At 48.6% G+C, this 20237-nt stretch overlaps 1 pseudogene across 1 annotated transcript in view; it reads right to left on the bottom strand.

Moving 5' to 3' along the window:
* Positions 1-2525: 2525 nt before the first annotated feature.
* ZNF815P (zinc finger protein 815, pseudogene) overlaps positions 2526-20237 on the bottom strand; it is a 31276-nt pseudogene continuing 13564 nt past the window's right edge. The window contains 5 exon segments of the transcript NR_023382.1: positions 2526-2854; positions 7445-8397; positions 9360-10195; positions 16105-16271; positions 16886-17012. The product of NR_023382.1 is annotated as a zinc finger protein 815, pseudogene (transcript).

Below are 20237 nucleotides of genomic sequence, written 5' to 3'. Positions count from 1 at the left end.
TCTCATGCTTCAGCCGCCTGACTAGCTGGGATTACAAGCATGCACCACCACGCCCAGCTAAATTTTTTGTATTTTTAGTAGAGACAGGGTTTCACCATGTTGGCCAGGCTGGTCTCGAACTCCTGACCTCAAGTGACCCACCCACCTCGGCCTCCCAAAGTGCTAGGATTATAGGCGTGAACCACCGCACCTGGCCAGGCCTGCTCACACTTTCAGCTCTGTCTCCTGCACTCAGGGAGAACACTGGGCTCTGCCCGGCTGCCCTCCTCCCGCGGCAGCTGGAAACACTTTGCCTCATTGGTTTCTCCCCTAACGGAGATCATGGTCTTTAGTGCCACCTATTGACCGGTGTCTAAAAACTGCCTTTGCGTATGTGTTGTACGGTTTTCTAGGTATTTAAGGCAAGAGGGTTAATCCATCTTGGCCATAAGTTGGGGAAGTCTCCACAATTTTTACAACATTTTGGGAGTCTGAAGGGGGAAGACTGCTTGAGACCAGGAGTTCGAACCCAGCTCGGGCAACACAGCAAGACCCCAATCTCTCCAAGAAAATAAAAATACTAAAAGTAGCCGAGCATGACAATGTGCGCCTATAGTCTCAGCTACTCGGGAGGCTGAGGTGGGAGGACTGCCTGAGCCCAGGAGATCCAGGCTGCAGTGAGCCATGTTGGCACCACTGCACTCCAGTCTGGGTGACACAGTGAGACCTTGTCTCAAGAAAAAAATAAAACATTTTAAGTTCCTGGAAGGGTGAGTTAGAGGCTATATAAAGAATTAAAGCTTTTTTAAAATCACATTCCCAAATTATTGGTCAAAAGGGAGCAGTGGGCCGGGTGTGGTGGCTCATACCTGTTATCCCAGCACTTTGGGAGGCCGAGGTGGGCGGATCACCTGAGGTCAGGACTTTGAGACCAGCCTGGCCAACACGGCAAAACCCCATCTGTACTAAAAATACAAAAATGAGCCAGGCGTGGTGGTGAGCACCTGTAATCCCAGCTACTTGGGAGGCTGAAGCAGGAGAATCACTTGAACTGGGGAGGCAGAAGTTGCAGTGAGCCGAGACAGTGCCTCTGTACTCCAGCCTGGGTGACAGAGCAAGACTCCATCTCAAAAAAAAAAAAGAATTAAAGCTTTTGGTGGCTCACACCTGTAATCCCGGTACTTTGGGAGGCTGAGGTGAGCAGATGGCTTGAGCTCAGGAGTTCAAGACCAGCCTGGGCAATGCGGTGAAACCCCATCTCTACAAAAATTATAAAAATTAGCCAGCCATGCTGGCTCACACCTGTAGTTCCAGCTACTCAGGAGGCAGAGGTGGGAGGATCGCTTGAGCCTGGGAAGTTGAGGCTGCAATGAGCCCTGATTTTGCCACTGTACTCCAGCCTATACAACAGAGCAAGACCCTTCTCAAAAACGAAAAGAAACTGCTGTTTCCTATGTTTTGTACAGTTGTAGGTATTTAAGGCAAGAAGGGTTATCCATCTTGGCCATAAGAAGGGGAGATCTCCACAATTTCTGTAAACATTTTAAGTTCATGGAAGGGGAATTGTGGGTTAGAGGCTATATAAAGTATTAGGATTTTTGATAATAAGAAAATATGGGCTAAGCATCGTGGCTGTAATCCCAGCACTTTGGGAGGCCGAGGTGGGTGCATCACTTGAGGTCAGGAGTTCGAGACCAGCCTGGCCAACATGGTGAAACCCCCATCTCTATTAAAAATGCAAAAAAAATTAGCCAGGCATGGTGGCGGGTGCCTGTAATCCCAGCTACTCAGGAGACTGACACAGGAGAATTGCTTGAACCCAGGAGGAGGAGATAACAGTGAGCCAAGATCATGCCATTGCACTCCAGCCTGGACAACAAGAGCAAAACTCCATCTCAAAAAAAGAAAAGGGCACATATGTGTGCGTGCAACAGAATACAGAATATTTATTTCCAGAGGAACCCTGACTTCTCCAGGCTCCTCGGTTTGTCCTTCTTTGTGGGCATGATTTATGCAGCTGCCTATAGATGTCACCACAGGAAGGCACGTCAGAGGTAATAAAAATCCCAGAGTGAGAACTGCGGCACCACGGCAGAGGGCCAGAGCACGAGTGCAAAGGCCCCGTGTCAAACACAGAAGAGGTTTTTGTTTTAAATCACGACATCTAATGGCTCACACCTGCAACCCTAGCATTTTGGGAGTCTGAGGTGGGAAGATGGCTTGAGCCTAGGAGTTAGAGACCAGCCGAGGCAACATAGCAAGACCCTGTCTTTACCAAAAATAAAAAAAAAAAAAAATAGTTGGGCGTGGTGGCATGCATCTGTGGTTCCAGCTCCTCGGGAGGCTGAGGCAGGAGGACCACTTGATCCCAGGAGTTTGAGGCTGCAGTGAGCTGTGATCACACCACTGCACTCCAGCCTGGGTAACAGAGTGAGATCCTGTCTCAAGTAAAACATAAAATAAAATAACATAAATAAAATTAAAATTAAAATAAATAAAATGAAATAACAAAATAAAATAACATCAGTCCACAGAACCCAAATCTTCGCCCAAGATAGAGTGACAGCCTTTACTAAAACAAATATGATCACCAGCAACCAAATTAAACACGGTCCACGTGAAGAGTGAATGAGGAAAGATTTTGGTTATGCTCAGGCATTTGGACCAGTTTAACTGAGGTCAAATTTTTTCAGATTTTTCTTTTCAAAAGCTGGTTGTGGAGTGGAGTTCAGGAGCATGTTCTTCATAAAGTGGCTCTTTGTGGGTCGGCCCTGGTGGGCGGGATTTCATCAATCTCACCAACCTCATTATCTAACATGCTGAATATGTAGCATCGATCAACGAACGAGATCCTCGGTCTCATGAAGTCAGCTTTCTGGGGAGGAGAAAAGAAACACAAATAAACAAGGAAATAAACGCCCAAGGTGGAAATAAGACAGCGTGAGGGTCAGGTTCCTTGAACTCACGTTTTTTTTTTTTTTTCTGAGATGGAGTTTCACTCTGTCGCCCAGGCTGGAGTGCAATGGCGCTATGTCGGCTCACTGCAACCTCCGCCCCCCAGGTTCAAGTGATTCTCCTGCCTCAGCTTCCTGAGTAGCTGGGATTACAGGCACCTGCCATCGTGCCTGGCTTTGTATTTTTAGTAGAGATGGGGTTTTACCATGTTAGCCAGACTGGCCTCGAACTCCTGACCTCCAGTGACCCACCCACCTTGGCCTCCCAAAGTGCTGAGATTAGAGGCATGAGCCACCACACCTGGCCGAGCTCATGTTCTTGAGTCACCCTCTGTCCTTTATAGAGAAGCAGTTTGGAGATTTCGTCCTACGTGTCTGAGGCCGGGTGCTATGGCTCATGCCTGTAATCCCAGTAATCCCAGCACTTTGGGAGGCTGAGACGGGAGCATTGCTTGAGCCCAAGAATTCGAGACCAGACTGGACAACATAGTGAGGCTCTATCTCTTCAAAAAATAAAAAATTAGCCAGGTGCGGTGGTGCATGCCTGTGGTCCCAGCTACTCAGGAGGCTGAGGCAGGAGGATCACTTGAGCCCAGGAGGTCGAGGCTGCAGTGAGCCATGATTGCATCACTGCACTCAGCCTGGGCAACAGAACAAGACAGTGTCTCAAAAAAAATTGTGTGAATCTCTTTTTGGCAAAGCAATCTGACATGTTTCTTGTTTCAGAGACTCAGCTTATTTTCAACCTAAAAGCCAACTAACTCTCACAGGGGAATACTGTACACAGTGATTACTGCAGTGTGTTTGTGTGTTAAAGACTGCTTTGTCATGCAGACTACAGCTCCAGCCTCACCTCGCTGTAATTTACTGTGGATATTTTGCATTATGTAGGCAGCACCTTATACCCGACAGAAGAGTTGAGGGCGGGGGGTCGGTGGGGGGGTGGGGGGGTGGGGTCCAGTCCCAACTCAGGTGTGCTATAAACTGGCTGACCTCAGATGAACCTTATTATATTGCTGAGCCCAGGTTTTCTCAACTACAACCATAATAATAAGACTTTGCCTCTAAGTTTAACATGGGGAATAATGACCGTATGAAAATATAGACTCAGCCTGGGCAACATCGTGCGACACCCATCTCTGCTACAAATTTAAAAATTAGCCAGGTGCAGTGGCTCACGCCTGTAATCCCACTGCTTGGGGAGGTAGAGGCAAGAGGAATGCTTGAGGCAAGGAGTTTGAGACCAGCCTGGGTAACAGAGCGAGACCCCATCTCTATGAAAAAGTTAAAAAGTTAGTGAGGCGTGATAGCATGTGCCCGTAGTCCCAGCTACTTGGGAGGATAAGGCAGGAGGATCGCTGGAGCCCCAGAAGTTCAAGGCTGCAGTGAGCTATAATCGCACCACTGCACTCCAGCCTGGGTGACAGAGCAAGACTATGTTGCCTCTGCTGGTCTCGAGAGACCCTTGTAGTCTGCTGCCTACTCCATGTAGGATGTAGTTACATTGATAATCTTGTTTTACAGATGAGGAAACTGAGGCTTGAATGATTTACCCAAAGTTAGCAAATGGTAGAGCTGAGACTTGAAGCAAGCTGACTCTAGCATGTTCATCTTAACTCCCTGGAGACAAGGAGCTCAGAACCCAGTGGCCTGGGTGTCTCCAGGAGTGAGGAACGGGAAAAAAAACTGCAACCTGGCTAACTCTTCTGTCTCCAGTGGCAAGAAAGAGACAGAAACGGTTATTTCAAGATGTTGTGATTATTGTTATTGAGGCAGCATCTCACTCTGTCTCCCAGGCTGGAGTGCCGTGGCGCAATCTTGGCTCACCACAACCTCCACTTCCCAGGCTCAAGCGATCCTCCCATCTCAGCCTCCTGAGTAGCTGGGACTGCAGGCACATGCTACCACGTCCGGCTAATTTTTTTTGTAGAGACAGGGTTTCACCATGTTGCGCAGGCTGGTCTCAAACTCCTGAGCTCAAGTGATCTGCCTGTCTCGGCCTCCCAAAGTGCTGGGATTACAGGCGTGAACCACCGTGCCCAGCCAAGACATTATTCTTTTGTAAAGTAAACATAGTTGCTCTTAGCATATGGTTCTCAATTGATGGGCGTGTGTGTGTGTGTGTGTTCTCTCTGGAAAAGTTTTCTCTGGGAGAAAATTCTAGATTTCACTGTTTTACATTTCAAAGTTGCCAGTTTGTTAAAAAAATCAGGCTGAGAAGAAACATGTTAGGACAAAAATGTGAAAGACTGTCATTAAAGCAAGCAAGACCAAGGACGGAGTTTTACAGACTTTGCACAGAATTCTTGGATCAACCCATGGACGCGGTGGTTGATTTTAACAGGAGCTGCAGAGTCTAATCCCTTTCATCACAAATGCATCTGGGACCAGAGCCCGATTTCCTGCTGCCCTTGGGGGACTTTTTAACCATTTTTTTTCCCCAAGCTTAGAGTATACATCAAATCCCAGGTCCACACTGACCCCCACTCTGGGCTGGAAGGGCCTGACCTCTCCCAAGAGAGTGGGGGTGGAAGAGAAGCTGTGAAATACAAAGTCATTTGATGGATGTGACACTGGGCACAGGTTGACCATCAAGCCAGGGAGGAGGCCTTTATGCCCGAAAACCCCTGAGCCTGTTCCAGGGATGCAGTGAACCACTCCTGTACCCACCCAGGCTTGCCTAGGTGTGTTGTGTGCCAAGGAAGCTTCAGGGAAGAGAGAGGACAGAGAGAGGTTGGATGTCTAAGTGTTGTTCAGTAAAGTGAACAGAAAGCAAATGTTCCAGTCTGGGAAAGTAAAATCACATATAAGAGGAAAGCGGATTGTCATAGAAGGTCCGAGGCCCGGGCTAGGGAAGGGAAAAACCACACGCTCAAAGTCCTGGTCAAGGCGTGTCCACGTTAATGGGAGAGAAGCACCTTCCTCCACTGTGGGGCCAGGGCAGGGCCAGAGCACCAGCTGGGAGTGGATCCTACACTTTTTTTTTTTTAATTGTGGTAAAATATGCGTAACATAAAATTTGCCATTTTCGCTATTTTTGAGGGTACAATTCAGTGGCATTTATTACATCAAAAATATTGTGCAACCAGGCTGGGCATGGTGGCTCACGCCTATAACACCAGCACTTTGGGAGGCCAAGGCGGGCAGGAGGTCAGGAGTTCAAGACCAGCCTGGCCAACGTGGCAAAACCCCATCTCTACTAAAAATACAAAAATTAGCTGGACATGGTGGTGTGCACCTATAATCCCAGCTACTCAGGAGGCTGAGGCAGGAGAATTTCTTGAACCCGGGAAGTGGAGGTTGCGGTGAGCCGAGATTGCACCACTGCACTCCAGTTGGGGCGACAGAGCGAGACTCCATCTCAAAAAAAAAAAAAAGAGAAAAACAAAATATTGTACAACCATCACCATCATCCATCTCCAGCACTTTTCCATCTTCCCAAACTGAAACTGTCCCCATTAACCCTCACTCTCCATCCCCCTTACCCCCAAGCTCTGATAACCAACGTTTTACTTTTTTTCTGTCTCTTATCAGTTTGACTATTCTAGGTACCTTATATAAGTGGACTCATGCTGTGTCTACCTTTTTTTCTTAACAAGAGTTTTGCTTGTTGCCCAAACCGGAGTGCAGTGGTGCGATCTCGGCTCACTGCAACCTCTGCCTCCCAGGTTCGAGCGAAGTCTCCTGCCTCAGCCTCCCGAGTAGCTGGGACTACAGGCGTCTGCCATCACGCCCAGCTTTTTGTATTTGTAGTAGAGATGGGGTTTCACCATGTTGGGCAGGCTGGTCTCAAACTCTTGACCTCGGGTGATTCACCCTCCTCAGCCTCCCAGAATGCTGGGATTACAGCCACTGCACCCGGCCTGATTGTTCAGTTTCTCAATTGGAACATGAGTAGGGCAAGTTCAAATTCTAACTTAGATGACATGCAGGCCAGTGCACATGGACTCATCCAGGTAAAATCTTGCCCTACCCAGAGCCCAAGGACAGACAGGCAAGCTTTCTGTCTCCAGTCTGCCGTCTCCCTTGATGTACAGCCTGTGGAAAGTTCTGCGCATCTGAGTTATTTCAAGGCCAGTTCTGTCTTGTGTAGCCCCCAAGTTCTTGTTTCTTACCCTTCTATACCATTTAACATTCAAGTTCCAAGTAAACAAAAACCCATAGAACAGCTACAGCATCAACTCACAGACTTTGTTTTTCAGTACCTTCTACATAGCTGGCACCTGGATACTTATTTTCCTGAGAGCTGAATTATGTATCTAAAAGGATGTCAGCGGTTGTTGTCCGTCATGTCCAGTTGTTTTCAGTGGGTTTTCACTTCATTTCTATTGAGAGAGGGTCTCACTGTCACCCAGGCTGGTGCGCAGTGGCACGACCATGGCTCACTGTAGCCTCAAACTCCTGGGCTCAAGGGATTCTCCCACCTCAGCCTCCCAAGTACCTGGTCCTACAGGCACGTGCCACCACGCCCAGCTAATATATATATGTATTTGGTACAGACAGGGTCTCACCGTGTTGCCCAGGCTGGTCTTGAACTCCTGGGGTCAAGTGACCTGTCCACCTTGACTTTCCCAAGTGCTGAGATCACAGGCACGAGCCACTGCCCCGGTGATTTTCACTTTAGACGGTCCACCGTATTGCCAGAAAATGGAGTCCTAATATAGAAATATAACTTGTTTTGAGACAGAGTCTTGCTCTGTCGCCCAGGCTGGAATGAAGTGGCACAATCTCAGCTCACTGCAACCTCTGCCTGCTGGGCTCAAGCAATTCTCGTGCCTGAGCCTCCCAAGTAGCTGGGATTACTGGGATTACAGAAAATCACCAGCATGCTCAGCTAATTTTTATATTTTTCAGTGACGGGGTTTCACCGTGTTGGCCAGGCTGGTCTCAAACTCCTGACCTCATGTGATCTGCCTGCCTCAGCCTCCCAAAGTGTTGGGTTTACAGGTGTGAGCGACCGAGCCCAGCCAAAAATATAACTTATAAACTAGTTGACTGTGAGTTATCAGATGTCATGAAATTGTTAGCTTCCAAGTTCAGGGGCTCTGTAATACGTGATGACAAACAGAAGAAATGGTATGTGCTGCTGCAGTGGGCCTCTCTGCTTTAATAATATATTCATCTTATTCCAGTTCTATATCACAAACACAGAAGGGTATAATTTAGCATAGAAAGTATCCATAGATCTTCTATATATTATGGTATGTATGTCTACAGATTCACAATTATGTTCTGTTCACCAGTGCAACACAAAAATAAAAATTATCTGTCTGTAGCACACTTGGAACACACCCCTGCGTCCCTCTGGGATGTTCTCACGCTTTTTAGATCTGTTAGTCGTAATGATTTCATTTCTTCCCATAGCCTGGGCAACAAGAGTAAAACTTCATCTCAAAAGAAAAAAAAACTTCATATCCACAGTTGTCTTTATAATTAAGTATATCCTGGCTAAAGTGGCTCACGCCTGTAATCCCAGCACTTTGGGAAGCTGAGGTGGGCAGATCATGAGGTCAGGAGTTCGAGAACAGCCTGACCAACATGGTGAAACTCCATCTCTACTAAAAACACAAAAAATTGGCCCGGCACGCTGGCAGGCACCTGTAATACCAGCTACTCGGGAGGCTGAAACAAGAGAATCACATGAACCCGGGAGGCAGAGGCTGCAGTGAGCCGAGATGGCACCACTGCCCTCCAGACTGGGCGATAGAACGAGGACTCCGTCTCAAAAAAAAAAAGTACACCTACGAAAATAGATCACTCTAGCATACCATTACCCTTCCGTCGTTAGTTTTAACAGACCATGCTTTTTTGTTGTTTGTTTTTGAGACTGAGTCTCACTCTGTCACCCAAGCTGGAGTGCAGTGGTGCGACCTCGACTCACTGCAATCTCCGCCTCCCAGGTTCAACCGATTCTCCTGCCTCAGCCTCCCGAGTAGCTGGAATTACAGGCGCCTGCCACAATTCCCGGCTAATTTTTTGTACTTTTAGTAGAGCCGAGCTTTCACCATGTTGGCCAGACTGGTCTTGAACTCCTGACCTCAGGTGATCCACTCGCCTCGGCGTCCCAAAGCGCTGGGATTACAGGCGTGAGCCACAGCGCCCAGCTGACCATGCCTTCCTTAAGCCACCAAAGTGGCCGAATTTCACCCCGATATGGGACCTCTGCCTAGGGTGGCGTCGTAGTTTTGGTTGAGGGCTGTTTCCCTGGCGATGTCCCTCCTAGAGGTTCGGCGACCTCGTGATGTGACTTTGTGACGATCCCACGGTCTCTTCACCCATGCAGCTTCTCCCTCGTGTGGATCCCGTGGTGGCGGATGAGGTTCGCCTTCCGGGAGGTCTTCCCGCAGTCGGAGCACTCGTACGGTTTCTTCCCCGCGAGTCCGCCTGTGGGTCAGGAGGCAGGAGTCCTGGGAGCAGCTTTCCCGCACTCCGCGCAGTCGCAGGGCTTCTCCCCCGTGTGAGTCCTCTGACGCAGGATGAGGTGTGACTTCTGGAAAAAGGCCTTTCCGCATTCCCTGCAGCCGCAGGGCTTCTCCCCCGTGTGGGAGCGAAGGTGCTCGATGAGGCGCGACTTGTGGGAGGTTTTCTCACACTCCCAACACTTGTAAGGCTTCGCTCCGGCGTGAACTGTGCCCGGGACACACAGGCGTGTCTTCCGGAAGATCGTTTTACCACTTCTGCTGTCTCTAGCGGGTTTCTCCTTTGTGTGAGTTCCCTGTTTGTCAGGGCAAAGCTTCTCCCTGAAACCACTCCCCCGTTCACTGCACGCAGAGGACTTCTCCCCCGCGTGGACCCCGTGATGTACCCTGAGGTCCGATCTGCAGCACAAGGCTTTCCCACACTTCGTGCATTCGTGGGGTTTCTCACTACTGGCTCCCTGAGCTGCAGGAACTCCCTCGTCACAGCTTAAAGCACTTCCACACTGGTGACCTCCGCGTGGATTCGCTCCTGAAGGTGGAGTTTCAAGTTTCGAACAGAGAAGAAGTTTCCGTGGCCGTCGCACTGAAATCTCCTCCTCGCCAGGTAGGCGTTAGGAGTGAAGTCCAGGTTACACATCAAACTCTTTCTGCACAAGTCACGTGTGCGGACCTGCTGTTTTGATGGAAGGAGGTTTGGGTTCTGATGGAGTTTTTTTCCAAGTTCGTTACATTCATGAAGCTCATTTCCGGTCCAGTCTTTCTTGTCTAGAAACGTATGGCTCAAATGTTGGTCTTCGTGTTGCTGTTGGCTATCTGGCTGGGTAGCAACTTGCCAAACTTCTTCTAGAAAAAATAACACAAACTTGTGGGGATTTTTTTTTTTTTTTTTTTTTTTTTGAGACGGAGTCTCACTCCGTTGCCCAAGCTGGAGTGTACTGGAGTGATCTTGGCTCACTCCAACTTCTGCCTCTCAGGTTCAAGTTATTCTCCTGCCTCAGCTTCCTGAGTAGCTGGGATTACAGGTGCCAGCCACCGTACCCAGCTAATTTTTGTATTTTTAGTAGAGACGGGGTTTCACCATGTTGGCCAGGCTGGTCTTGAACTCCTGACCTCAGGTGATCTGCTGGCCTTGGCCTCCCGAAGTGCAGGGATTACAGGCGTGAGCCACTGCGCCTGGCCGTAAGTTTGTTAATCTTGGAGTACTGTATCACAAAACTATTGCAGAAAAGCTTGAAGGGAGCATTCATTTTGTGGTTTTAAGCCTAATTGCCTGTAATCCCAGCTACTCAGGAGGCTGAGGTGGGAAGGTCGCTTGAGCCTGGGAGGTTGAAGCTGTACTGAGCCATGATCACACCACGGCACTCCAGCCTGGGTGATGGAGGGAAACTCTGTCCCAAAAAGTAGTAAAACCAAGTGCCCGGTCCCTTTCTTGAGGCCTAGGTTACACAGAGGCCTTCACTATCCACCCTTCCCATGTTCTCCCGACCTATGCTCCCTTTCATTCTGTGTACCAACTGGATTTTCTCAAAGCATGAGGTCCTTTTTGTTGTTGTTGAGATGGAGTCTCACTCTTTCACCAGGCTGGAGTGCAGTGGCACAATCTCGGCTCACTGCAACCTCAGCCTCCTGGGTTCAAGCAATTCTCCTGCCTCAGCCTCTCGAGCAGCTGGGATTACAGGCACCCACCACCACGCCCAGCTAATTTTTTGTATTTTTAGTAGAGACAGGGTTCCACCATGTTCGTCAGGCTGGTCTTGAACTCCTGGTCTCAGGTGATCCGCCTGCCTCGACACTCCAAAGTGCTGGGATTACAGGCGTGAGCCACTGCACCCAGCCATGAGCTCTTTATTGTTAAAGGAATTATCTTAGAGCTAGCGGCATTTTCTGCAGTGACTTATTCTCACATGGACCTATGGATCTTTATGATGTCCAACAGAAGAATACTAGAGTACACACAAGCCACCCTGGCCTCAGAGTCAGATTCCCTGCTGTCTCGTGATGCCTGTATTACCACTTTGTTGTTTTTGTTTTGGTGACAGGGTCTCCGTCACTCAGGTTGGAGCACGGTAGTGCAATCATGGCTCACTGCAGCCTCAAATTTCCGGGCTCCGGCAATCCTCCCACCTCAGCCTCTCAAGTAGCTGGGACTACAGGTGCATGCCACCATGTCCAGCTAGTTTTTAAAATTGTTTTTGTAGATATGGGGGTCTCACTATGTTGCCCAGGCTTGTCTTGAGCTTCTGGCCTCAGGCGATCCTCCTGCCTTGGCCTCCCAATCAGCTGGGATTATAAAAATTAGCCAGACACAGTGGCTCATGCCTAGTTTCTTTTTTTGTAGAGATGGAGTTTTGCTATGTTGCCCAGGCTAGTCCCGAACTCCTGGCCTCAAGCAATTCTTTTGCCTCAGCCTCTCCAAATGCTAAGATTACAGGCATGAGCCACCACACCTGGTGTATCTTTATTGACATTTTAAACTAAAGACGCTACCTGCTGCCTCACCTCTGAGGCTTATGTCTGACTCAAGGATGTCAGTCCTCTGTTTAGAAGTTCCTGGCTGGGTACAGTGGCTCACGCCTGTAATCCCAGCACTTTTGGGAGGCCGAGGCAGGCGGATCACCTGAGGTCGGGAGTTTGAGACCAGCCTGACCAACATGGTGAAACCCCCGTCTCTACTGAAAGTACAAAATTAGCTAAGCGTGGTGGCACATGCCTATAATCCCAGCTACTTGGGAGGCTGAGACAAGAGAATCACTTGAACCGAAGAGGCAGAGGTTGCAGTGAGCCGAGATCATGCCATTGTGTACTCCAGCCTGGGCAACAAGAGCGAAACACTGTCTCAAAAAAATAAAAGGAGAAAAGAAAAAAAAAAAAGTTCCTGGCTGGGTGCAGTGGCTCACACCTGTAATCCCAGCACCTTGGGAGGCCAAGGTGGGCAGATCACCTGGGGTCAGGAGTCTGAGACCAGCCTGGTCAACATGGTGAAACCCTGTCTCTACTAAAAATAGAAAAATTAGCCAGGCACAGTGGCGCGTGCCTGTAATCCCAGCTACTTGGGAGACTAAGGCAGGAGGACTGCTTGATCCTAGGAGGCGGAGGTTGCAGTGACTGTGCCACTGCACTCCAGCCTGGGTGACAGAGAAAGGCTCTCTCTCAAAAAAAAAAAAAAAGTTCCTGGCCAGGTGCGGTGGCTCACACCTGTAATCCCAGCACTTTGGGAGTCCGAGGCAGGCGGATCACCTGAGGTCAGGAGTTTGAGACCAGCCTGACCAACATGCAGAAACCCCCCTCTCTACTAAAAATACAAGAAATTAGCGAGGTGCGGTGGCACATGCCTATAATCCCAGCTACTCGGGAGGCTGAGGCAGGAGAATCGCTTGAACCTGCGAGGCACAGGTTGTGGTGAGCTGAGATCGTGCCATTGCATCCAGCCTGGGCTACAAGAGTGAAACTCCGTCTCAAAAAAAAAAAAAAGAAAAAAGAAAGAAGTTCCTGAGCTGAACTGCTGAATTTCTGAGAGGTAAAGACCACCTGTTCATCTCCCCCGTCAGATTTCTAGGGTGAGATTCAGCCAGGGATATTTTTGAAGTTCCCCACGTGATTTTGGTGTGGATCATCAATTAATTAGCAGCGTCCCGAACAAACGCGTGACAAAGAATTCTTGTCCTGATCCAAAGAGGGATTTAAAGGAGTGTCCCCCAGAGCTTCTTGCAGAAACACAGACAAATGAAATAATAGCTCTTCTCCCCATGGGGTTATACTGAGTACAGCCCATTAGGCAGAATGGAGCCATATTACATGGTTTTGAAAGAAGAATTTAAAAGTCATATAAAAGGTAATGTACTGGGCTGGACAGTAGAGTAACCAGATGCGTGAAGTAGACAAAGTTGACATTAACCTCTAAGATCGGCCAGGCACAGTGACTCACACTTGTAATCCCAGCACTTTAAGAGGCCGGGGTGGGAGGATCGCTTGAGCCCAGGAGTTCAACACAATCCTGGGCAACATCGTGAGACCCCATCTCTACAAAAAAACCTTCAAGATGAGCCAAGTTTTTCTTTTCTTTTCTTTTTTTTTTTTTTTTTTTTAAGAAACAGGGTCTCGCGTGATCATAGCTCACTGCAACCTCGACCTCCTGGACTCAAGCGATCCTCCAGCCTCAGCCTCCCAAAGTGCTGGGACTACAGGTGACAGCTGCCATGCCTGGAGGGTTTAATTACTTCTGATTCCATTACTGGTGCCAGCTGATGTTCGATTTTTGTTTTTTTGAGATGCGGTCAAGCTCTGTTGCCCAGGCTGGAGGAACCACAGCTTATTGCAGCCTCAACCTCCTGGGCTCAAGTGATCCTCTCCCCTCAGTCCCCTGATTAGATGACACTATAGGCACATGCCACCATACCCAGCTAATTTTTCTATTTTTAGTAGAAATGGCTTTTCACCACGTTGGCTAGACTGCTCTCAAACTCCTAAACCCATGTGATCTGCCTGCCTCAGCCTCTCAAACTGTTGGGATTACAGGCGTGAGCCACCATGCCTGGCCCCTAAATGAGCATTTAATAGAAAAGATGGTGCCAGCTCCAAATAACCCAGCCCCTTCGTTTTCTGCAGCAGAAACTTGGTGATCAGCATCAATCAATGCCACACGAAGGTGAGCTGGGAGGGAGACAGCAGTGATTTAACCTCATCAAGTTGGCCGGGCGCAGTGGCTCACGCCTGTAATCCCAGCACTTTAGGAGGCTGAGGCGGGCGGATCACGAGGTCAGGAGATCGAGACCATCCTGGCCAACATGGTGAAACGGTATCTCTACTAAAAATACAAAAATTAGCCAGGCATGGTGGTGCGCACCTGTAGGCCCAGCTACTCGGGAGGCAGAGGTTGCAGTGAGCCGAGATCATGCCACTACACTCCAGTGTGGGCAACACTGGATTATTTATTCAAAAACAAATAAATAAAGTCATTAAGTACACTAAAGGACAGCAATGGCTTTCACCAGTTTGTGGGTGTGAAGAAGAGAGAGGCGACTAAATTATACGTGTAGAAAATATGTTTTTGAGGCATTTCACAGTAAAAGAAAACGATGAAAAGAAGAACAAATAGCACAAAATAACAGCTATTTTAACATAGGGCAGATCAATGAATCTCTGAACACAGGAGAAAACCTGTTTTATAACCACAGGGAAAATACTGAAGATTCTACAGGAAGACTTGGCAATCGAGGTCTTAGTGGGGGACAGCAGAGCAGAATCAAAGGACAAATGAAAATAGATGGTCAGGCATATGGCTCATGCCTGTAGTCCCAGCTACTTGGGAGGCTAAGGCAGGAGGATCGCTTGAGCCTAGGAGTTTGAGACCATCCTGGACGACATAGGGAGACCCCATCTCTACAAAAATGAAAAAAAAAATGAGCTCAGTGGCTCAGTGTGATGGCATGTGCCTGAAGTAGCAGCTACTAAGGAGGCTGAAGTAAGAGGATCACTTGAGCCCAGGAGTTGGAGGCTGCAGTGAGCTACCATCACTCCACTGCACTCCAGTCTGGGTGAAAAAGCAAGACAGTCTCTCAAAACAAGAAAAAAGAGGGCCAGGCGTGGTGGCTCACGCCTGTAATCCCAGCACCTTGGGAGGCAGAGGTGGGAGGGTCATCTGAGGTCAGAAGTTCAAGACCAGCCTGGCCAGCCAACATAGCAAAACCCCATCTCTACTGAAAAAAAAAAAAAAAAAAAAAAAATTTAGCCGAGCATGGTGGTGGCACGTGCTTGTAATCCCAGCTACTCAGGAGGCTGAAGCAGGAGAATCACTTCAACCTGGGAGGCGGAGGTTGCAGTGAGCCAAGATCGTACCACTGTACTCGAGCCTGGGCAACAGCCAGACTGTCTCAAAAAAAAAAAAAACAAAAAAAAGAAAAAAAAAAGAAAAAAATAGACTATGCCTTTCTCTAAAATCCAGAGACAGGAAAGGAATCGTGTAGTGATGTGTGCAGGTGGCAGGATCACTAAGGCATCTCAAGGTTTAAGGCCAAATGTCCACAGCTGCTTGCAAAGATCCAGGGTTTTTTTTTTTTTTTTTTTTTGAGATGAGTCTCGCTCTGTCACCCAGGCTGGAGCACAGTGGCACAATCTCGGCTCACTGCAACCTCTGCTTCCCAGGTTCAAGCGATTCTCCTGCCTCAGCCTCCTGAGTAGCTGCAACTACAGGTGCGTGCCACCACACCCAGCTAATTTTTAGTAGAGACGGGGTTTCACCGTGTTAGCCAGATGGTCTTGATCTCCTGACCTCATGATCCACCCACCTTGGCCTCCCAAAGTGCTGGGATTACAGGTGTGAGCGACCATGCCCAGCCAAGATCCCAAGCTTTTAAGAACAGTTGCCTGAAACAAGAGGACATCCGGCTAGGCGCCATGGGTCACGCCTGTAATCCCAGCACTTTGGGAGGCCAAGGCAGGTGGATCACCTGAGTTCAGGAGTTTGAAACCAGCCTGACCAACATGGTGAAACCCAGTCTCTACCAAAAATACAAAATAAGTCACACATGGTGGCGGGCACCTGTAATCCCTGCTACTCAGGAGGCTGAGGCAGGAGAATGGCTTGAACCTGGGAGGTGGAGGTTGCAATGAGCTGACATCGCACCACTGCACTCCAGCCTGGGCAACTGAGCGAGACTCCATCTCAAAAAACAAAACAAGACAACATCCATGGGTTCTGCTTTGCAGACTTCCAGGAGCCTCATCCCCCGGCCCCCTGCAGGCCACCTGCTCACCTGGGAAGCTCCACGTCCTTATCTCTTCCTCCTCCATCCATGGCTCCTTCCCCTGCTCCAAACTGGAGATCACAGCTGGTTTGCTGACTTGACACCCTCTTGGGGAGAAACGGTTAAAGGATTTGTGCTGAGCCAGCTGGGCCTTCCAAGCAAGCAGACAGTTCAGCCTGCAAAACAAAAGGTGGACATCTCAGCCACAGAGAGCTGTTTCGCTTGGCAGGTAACTTCACGAGGACTCCAAGTGGGATCGAGACTCTGACCACTGAAACCCAAGGCCAAGCACTTTTATTTTTCACACAGGGTCTTGCTCTGTTGCCCAGGCTGGAGTGAAGTGGCACAATCACAGCTCACTGCAGCCTCAACCTCCTGCACTCAAGTGATCCTCCCATCTCAGCCTCCCGAGTAGCTGGGACTACAGGCAGGCATCACCACCCTCAACTAATTTTTTAATGTTTTGGTAGAGATGGGGTTTTGCCATGTTGCCCAGGCAAGTCTTGAACTTGGGCCTCAAGGGATCCTTCCATTTGAGACTCGCAAGTAGCTGGGACTGCAGGCACATGCCACCATGCCTGGCTAATTTTTTATTTTTCGTTTGTATAGATCGGGTCTTGCACCTGTGGCTCAAGCAATCCTCCCACCTCGGCCTCCTGAAGTGCTGGGATCACAGGCATGAGCCACCATGCCCAGCTTAGCACTTTCAGTGCGTGAGCAGTTTCCCAGTTTTATACAACTAAGAAAAAGAGTTCATGTAACCCGAGGACCACGGGGAAGTCTTCCTCACCCACAGAGAGCAGGTGGCTGTAGTTCTCCAGCATCACATCCTGGTACAGGGTCCTCTGCTCCAGGTCCAGCTGCTGCCACTCTTTCCGGGTGAAGCCCACAGCCACGTCCCCGAATGACAGTGACCCCTGGAACAGCACATGGCTGATTAATGTGGAGTGGTTGGCACTGGGTACCATGGCAAAGGCGTAGAGGAGATTGATCTTACCCCCTTCCGAGGTCAGCTTTCCCCATATTAGGTTACATAGAAAGCTGAGCACACCCCTAACTTTGTACTACACTTTGTGGAAGAGAAAAAAAAAATTGTTAGAAAAAATATCAACCGGGTGCAGTGGCTCACGCCTGTAATCCCAGCACTTTGAGGGGCTGAGACAGGTGGATTGCTTGAGGTTAGGAGTTTGAGACCAGCGTGGCCAACATGGTGAAACCCCATCTCTACAAAAAATATATTAGATGGACGTGCTGGTGGGTGCCTGTAATCCCAGCTACCAGGGAGGCTCAGGCAGGAGAATTGCTTCAACCCAGGAGGCGTAGCTTGCAGTGAGCTGAGATCCCGCCCTTGCACCCCAGGCTGTACAACAGAGTGAGACTCCATCTCAAAAATAAATAAATAAATCTCACTACTGGATCTCCATTCATTCCTTCAATGATCAAGTGTCTTTCAGGGACCTCGCACACTGCTGGTGTTCTACCAGGCGCTTGGGGTCGAGGGCTGAACACAAAATTGTTCCTGTTCTGAAGGTAGTTAGGAGTGTTGCTGCCAGATGAACACAGGAAGACAGCTGTACCGTAAGATTACACTATAGGCGGTGGTAGACATGTAGTTACATACAGAATGGGCACGAGGAAGACAGCAGCCAGATCCAACGTACTGTCAAGTGAAGCTTCCTAGGAGATCACAGGGGAGTAGAATCACGAAAGATAAACAGAATGATCTGATGTCTGAAGGATATTCCTAGCAAGAGGCCTGGCATGGGCAAAGGAGGCACAGAAAAGTCTCGTAGAAACTACAAAGAGAATGAAAATGCCGGGTGTAAGGCGTGTGTGGGAGAGGGAGAGAGCGTACCAGCCACGGGTAGAAGTGATTTTTTTTTTCCCTGTAGGAAATGCAGACTCCCACCTCACGGTATTTACGGAGGGGAACTACAGATGATCTGATGTGGAAAAAAGGTGGGAGCCACCGGAAGGGAGGATAGCAGGAGCTAAATTATCACATGATTCTAATCCTCAATGTAAGCTAGTGCTCAAAATTAAAACAGCAAGAGAAATGCAGAGAAGGGGTTCCACAGATGCAGAACAGGGCTTGGCCTCCTTCACCCATCCCATCCCCTCTCTCAATGAATTAAAGACCCCCATTTAAACATCTTCAATTTATACCTATTAGAAAATATGAGGATGTATATAAAATATATATATAACATATAGATATTATCTATTTATATATTATATAGAGATATATATAGAGAGAAAGAGAGATTTTCTATTTTGGAGAGGGTGTTCCACTCTTGTCACGCAGGCTGGAGTGCAATGGTGCCACCTTGGCTCACCGCAACCTCTGCCTGCTGGGTTCAAGCAATTCTCTTGCCTCAGCCTCCTGAGTAGCTGGGATTACAGGCTTGTGCCACCACACCTGGCTAATTTTGTATTTTTAGTAGAGACAGGGTTTCTCCACGTTGGTCAGGCTGGTCTCGAACTCCTGACCTCAGGTGATCCACCTGTCTCAGCCTCCCAAAGTGCTGGGATTACAGGTGTGAGCCACTGCCCCTGGCCTTAGATCTTCTCTTTTTGGGACAGGGTCTCTCTCTGTCCAGGCTGGAGTGCAGTGGTGTGATCATGGCTCGCTGCAGCCTCTACCTCCTGGGTTTAAGTGATCCTCTCGCCTCAGCCTCCCGAGTAGCTGGGATTACAGGCATAGGCCAGCTGGTTTTATTTAAATTTTTTGTAGAGTTGGGGTCTCACTATGTTGTTTAATCAAAGTTTAAATAATTTGAAGGAGATCAGACAGGGTGGCTCACGTCTGTAATCCCAGCACTTTGGGAAGCCGAGGCAGGTGGATCACTTGAGGGCAAGAGTTCAAGACCAGCCTGGCCAACATGGTAAAACCCCATCTCTACTAAACATACAAAAAAAAAAAAAATTAGCTGGGCATGGTGCCAGGCACCTGTAATCCCAGCTACTCGGGAGGCAGGAGAAACACTTGAACCCAGGAGGCGGAGCTTACAGTGAGCCGAGATCGTGCCACTGCACTCCAGCCTGGGTGACAGAGCAAGAGTCTGTCTCAAAAAAAAAAAAAAAAAAAAAAAAAAAAGTATGTGAGAGTCGGGGGGCTTTCATCACTGTGGCAGAGGTCAAGGGGGGATGCTGGGTATAAAGAGCTGTGGTGGGCCCCCTGGACACATGCTGCTGGGGTGATGACGGATGTTCATAGGCAAATGGGCGACCCAAATTGTCCCCAGTGGTGAGACAAGCGCGTGCAGAGGAGGGGCAACAAGCAGGGCACAGCCCGGGGGCAGCAGCAGGGACCGGGAGCTATGTGGGAGTGGGGAGAGGCAATCCACAAAGAAGCCCAGAGCCCCAATCACCCTACAGAGCCTGGGTTCTCTTCCAGACCACACTCTGATCTCTAGAAAAACTTATGACCAAGGGCTAAAGGCTGCTGAAGCCAGTGACTTTTTTTTTGAGATAGGGTCTCACTGTGTTGCCCAGGCTGGAGTGCAATGTACAATATCGGCTCACTGCAACCTCCGCCTCCTGGGTTCAAGTGATTCTCCTGCCTCAGCCACCTGAGTACCTCAGATTACAGGCACACACCCAGCTAATTTATGTATTTTTAGTAGAAACGGGTTTCACCATGTGGCCAGGCTGGTCTCGAACTCCTGACCTCAGGTGGTCCGCCTACCTCAGCCTCCCAAAGTTCTGGAATTACAAGCGTGAGCTATCACGAGTCTATGTAGTGTATGTATATGTATATACATTATATATATATATATATATATATATATATATATAGTCTATGTAGTTTACATACATGTCTAGTATATATATAGACAGTCTATGTAGTTTTTATACATACACATACAATGTCTACATAATGTCTTAATTTCTATGTAATTTATTCATATCTAATTTCTATATAAACATAAAATTTCCATGTAAATATATAATTTCTATAGATATGCCTCTCATGGGTTTATTCATGATATAACATATGAAAAGCAGAGAGACCACGGAGTGCTGGACAGACAGCATTTAACCCAGTCATTGTCATCTTTAGTACAGATTCCCCTAACAGGGAGTCATTCCCAGTGGGACTCGGCTTTCTACAAAACAGTGGCTTCTGGCCGGGCGCGGTG

This window comes from Homo sapiens, chromosome 7, assembly GCF_000001405.40.
Source record: "Homo sapiens chromosome 7, GRCh38.p14 Primary Assembly".
Classification (NCBI taxonomy): domain Eukaryota; kingdom Metazoa; phylum Chordata; class Mammalia; order Primates; family Hominidae; genus Homo; species Homo sapiens.
Note: the sequence above shows the minus strand (reverse complement) of the source record. Positions and strands in the feature narration are given on the sequence as shown.